Source organism: Homo sapiens, chromosome 16, assembly GCF_000001405.40.
Source record: "Homo sapiens chromosome 16, GRCh38.p14 Primary Assembly".
NCBI classification, from domain to species: Eukaryota; Metazoa; Chordata; class Mammalia; order Primates; family Hominidae; genus Homo; species Homo sapiens.
The window spans coordinates 9,310,594-9,314,605 of record NC_000016.10 but is presented as its reverse complement, the minus strand read 5'-3'; the positions used below and the strand labels follow the sequence as shown (position 1 = coordinate 9,314,605).

The following is a 4,012-nucleotide window of genomic DNA, read 5'->3' as shown; positions in this document are numbered from 1 at the left end:
CCCATCAAGCCAAAGGGAATAAAACAAGCATATAATATGGACCCCAAGTTTTTCATCATTCATTGTAGTCACTCACATCTGAGGATCCCCTCGGTACATGTTCTGCTTTAGTTGAGTTGAGCTGCACTGAGTTGAGCCAAGTTGAGTTCAGTTGAATTGAGCTGAGTTCAGTTGAGGTGAGCTGAGTTGAGTTCAGTTAAACCAAGTTGAGTTGAGGTGGACTTAGTTGAGTTCAGCTGAGTTGAGCTGAGCTAAGCTGAGTTGAGGTGAGCTGAACTTAGTTGAGTTGAGCTGAGTTGAGCTGAAGTTAGTTGAGCTGAACTGAACTGAACTGAGTTGAGTTGAGCTGAGCTGACTTCCATTGAGTTCAGTTGAGTTGGGCTTACCCAGGCTGAGGTGAGCTGAACTGAATTGAGCTGAGCTGAGTTCACTTGGGTTGAGTTGAGTTGAGCTCAGCTCAGCTGAGTTGAGCTGACTTCAGTTGAGCTGAGCTGAGTTGAGCTGAGCTGAGCTGACTTCAGTTGAGTTGAGCTGAGCTGAGTTGAGCTGAACTTGGCTGAGCTGAATTGAGTTGAGCTGAGCTAGCTAAATTGAGTTGAGTTGAGCAGAAGTGAGTTGAGCTGAGCTGAATTGAGTTGAGCTGAGCTTAGCTGAGCTGAATTGAGTTGAGCTGAGCTGAACTGAGTTGAGCTGAGCTGAATTGAGTTGAGCTGAGCTTAGCTGAGCTGAATTGAGTTGAGCTTAGTCGAGTTGAACTGACCTTAACTGAGCTGAATTGAGTTGAGTTGAGCTGAGTTGAGTTGAGCTGAGCTGAGTTGAGCTGAGTTGAGTTGAATTGAGCTGAGCTGAATTGAGCTGAGCTAAATTGAGTTGAGTTGAGCAGAATTGAGTTGAGCTGAAATGAACTGAGTTGAGCTGAACTGAACTGAGTTGAGCTGAGCTGAACTGAGTTGAGCTGAGCTAAGCTGAGTTGAGCAGAACTGAGTTAAGCTGAGCTGAATTGAGTTGATCTGAGCTGAACTGAGTTGAGCTGAGCTAAGCTGAGTTGGGCTGAGCTTAGCTGAGCTGAAATGAGTTGAGCCGAGCTGAACTGAGTTGAGCTGAGCTGAACTGAGTTGAGCTGAGCTTAGCTGAGCTGAATTGAGTTGAGTTGAGCTGAGCTGAATTGAGTTGAGCTGAGCTGAACTGAGTTGAGCTGAGCTGAATTGAGCTGAGCTGACCTAAGCTGCGTTGAGTTGAGCTGAGCTGAACTGAGTTGAGCTGAGCTGAACTGAGCTGAGCTGAGCTGAGCTGAGCTGCGTTGAGTTGAGCTGAGCTGAACTGAGTTGAGCTGAGCTGAGTTGAGTTGAGCTGAGCTTAGCTGAGCTGAATTGAGTTAAGCTGAGCTGAGCTGAGCTGAATTGAGTTGAGCTGAGCTTAGCTGAGCTGAGTTGAGCTGAGCTTAACTGAGCTGAGTTGAGCTGAGCTTAGCTGAGCTGAGTTGAGTTGAGCTGAGCTTACCTGAAATGAGTTGAGTTAAGCTAAGGTGGCTTGAGCTGAGCTGAATTGAGTTGAGCTGAGCTTAATTAAGCTGAGCTGAGCTGAACTGAGTTGAGTTGAGCTGAGCTGAGTTGAGCTAAGCTTAGCTGAGTTGAATTGAGTTGGGCTGAGCTAAGCTGAGTTGAGTTGAGCTGAGCTGAACTGAGCTGAGCTGAGATAAATTGAGTTGAGTTGAGCAGAATTGAGTTGAGCTGAGCTGAACTGAGTTGAGCTGAGCTTAGCTGAGCTGAATTGAGTTGAGTTGAGCTGAGCTAAGCTGAGTTGAGTTGAGCTGAGCTGAACTGAGTTGAACTGAGCTTAGCTGAGCTGAGTTGAGTTGAGCTGAGCTGAGCTTACCTGAAATGAGTTGAGTTAAGCTGAGGTGAGTTGAGCTGAGCTGAGCCGAGTTCAGCTGAGCTGAATTGAGTTGAGCTGAGCTGAATTGAGCTGAGCTGAGCTGAGCTGAGCTGACTCAAGTTGGAGAAGGCATCTCTTAAGGCTTCAATCTGGGGGCAGCATGGACCTTGCAGCCAGTGGATAGGAGATGGGCATGGAAAGCAAGGTCAAGAGCCCAGCCTGCCATCCTAAGAAGCTGTCTGGTGGAGGAGTGAAAAGCAAGGACCTGGGAACCAGATTACCTGCTTTATAATCCTGGCTCCACCATCCAACAGCTCTGTAACCCTGGGCAAGTTACTTAACTTCCCTGTGACCCAGTTTCTTCATCTACAAAATGAGGATAATAACACCTTCTATATCATAAAATTAAGTGAATTAACATTTCTAACAATCCCTGGCACAGATCTCATTATTATTAGTTTTTCAGGGGACAGGAATGGATGAGCATACAGGGACTTGCCTCAACTGACCCTTAGGGCTTCCTGAGCACAGGAGCCAGGTCCTTCACATGCATTTCTCAGCTAATTCTCCCAAAAACTCTTGAAATGTCTGTTCAACTCTTGTTGATCTTTTTGCTTTTGCATCCCCAGCCCCTTCCCAGTGCCTGGAAGGAATAAATGAACAACTTCATGAATAAGAGGAAAAAATATTTATTGTTTGCCATGCAATAGGCTAAGCATTTTACACACATTATTTTAATTATTTTAATGTGCACAACAACTCTATGAGGTCTAGGTGCCATCATTAGACCCCTTTTTACAGAAAAACAACCTGAGGTTCAGAAAGGTGAAGGAATTTTCCCAGGGGTGCACAGCTTCCAAGTGGCTGAGCCAAGATACAAATTCAGACGTGCCAGGCTCTTGCCCTCTATAACACTGCCTCTGTGAATCAAAGTGTTTGGTCCCATTTTACAGGTGAGAAAGCTGAGGCCAGACAGCTTTAAGCTGCTTGGAGTCAGTCTCCAAGTTTCTGTTCTCTTTCCTGCACCCCAGCTGCTCCACATACTGGCCTAATGCACCCTCACCCAACTCCCAGAGACATGGATATTGTATATTCCTTGCCTGGGGGTTCCTGAGGGTGTTTCAGAGGCCATGTGCCTAGAGCAAAGGCATAACTGTAGTGACAAGTCTTGAGCTGGTGAGACATGTGCGCTGGGGGAAACAAGCCCTTCCCCCTGACAGCTTTGTTAGTCATGACTTGCTGCAATGCGCAGTGGCACTCCAGGAAGCCGGGCCTCCTTAACATTAGGAAGCTGTAGCTGCTGCCTCACAGACTGGCTGCAGAGCCAGCTGGCTTCTGCAGCTGCCCATCATCCTGCCTGCCCTGTCTACGGCCCTGCTGTCTTAAGGATTTTTTTCTTTCCTGCTAGAAAGATTGACAGGGCCCCTGAATCTTTCTCCTTGACAACACAGGCTACAGTCAGGACTGGAGACAACCTGGGCACAGGTCTTGCTGCTCAAATATGACACCTTCCAAATGTTGAAACCCTAACTATGCCCAAGCTATCTTAGACACATACAAGGCAGGAGAGTTTGGAGAGTCAGGGTCTAGTGGAGCACAGGCACAGGGAGTACAGACATTCACTGAGCATATTCTTCAGCTGCTAACATAATACCTTGACCAGCAGGTCCTTTACATCCATCATGTTACTAACCCTCTGACCATCGAGGGAGGGTGACATCATTCCATTTAAGGGATAGGGAAAGCAAGGCCAAGACAGGTGAGCTGACCTTCTTATGATCACACAACCATAATATTTGATTAAAATGTGCTGGAGAGATCATGTAACAATAAGCCCAGAGGACCCAGACACAAAGTCATCAAAAAGAGATGCCTTTGCGTATGTTAATACCCTCATCAAGCAGTGGTACTCTTTCCACCCTGGCCCAGCCCTGCCTGTCACTCCCATGTTAGATTCTGGAAAAAAACAAGTTGGGAGCCAGTAGCACCTAGCTGCTGGCTTTTCTAACTCCCAGGAGTTGGGCTTCTAGATTCAAATCCTGACTCTGTCCCTCACCAGCTGTGTGCCCTCAGGCATGTTACTTAACCTCTCTGAGCCTCAGCTCCCTCTATTGTAAACTGGGCAGTTTAATGAGAC

The 4,012-nt window shown here is 47.0% G+C and overlaps 2 annotated features.

Moving 5' to 3' along the window:
- Positions 402-626: a silencer, noted in NCBI's record as "fragment chr16:9407837-9408061 (GRCh37/hg19 assembly coordinates)". NCBI's record gives its function as "represses an EF-1alpha promoter that drives an FKBP-Casp9 reporter gene in an ReSE screen in HepG2 liver carcinoma cells {active_cell/tissue: HepG2}" and the evidence as "EXISTENCE:reporter gene assay evidence [ECO:0000049][PMID:32094911]".
- Positions 2,919-3,420: an enhancer, noted in NCBI's record as "OCT4-NANOG hESC enhancer chr16:9405043-9405544 (GRCh37/hg19 assembly coordinates)". NCBI's record gives its function as "activates a minimal SCP1, AML or CMV promoter by ChIP-STARR-seq in naive H9 embryonic stem cells {active_cell/tissue: H9 hESC(naive)}" and the evidence as "EXISTENCE:reporter gene assay evidence [ECO:0000049][PMID:30033119]".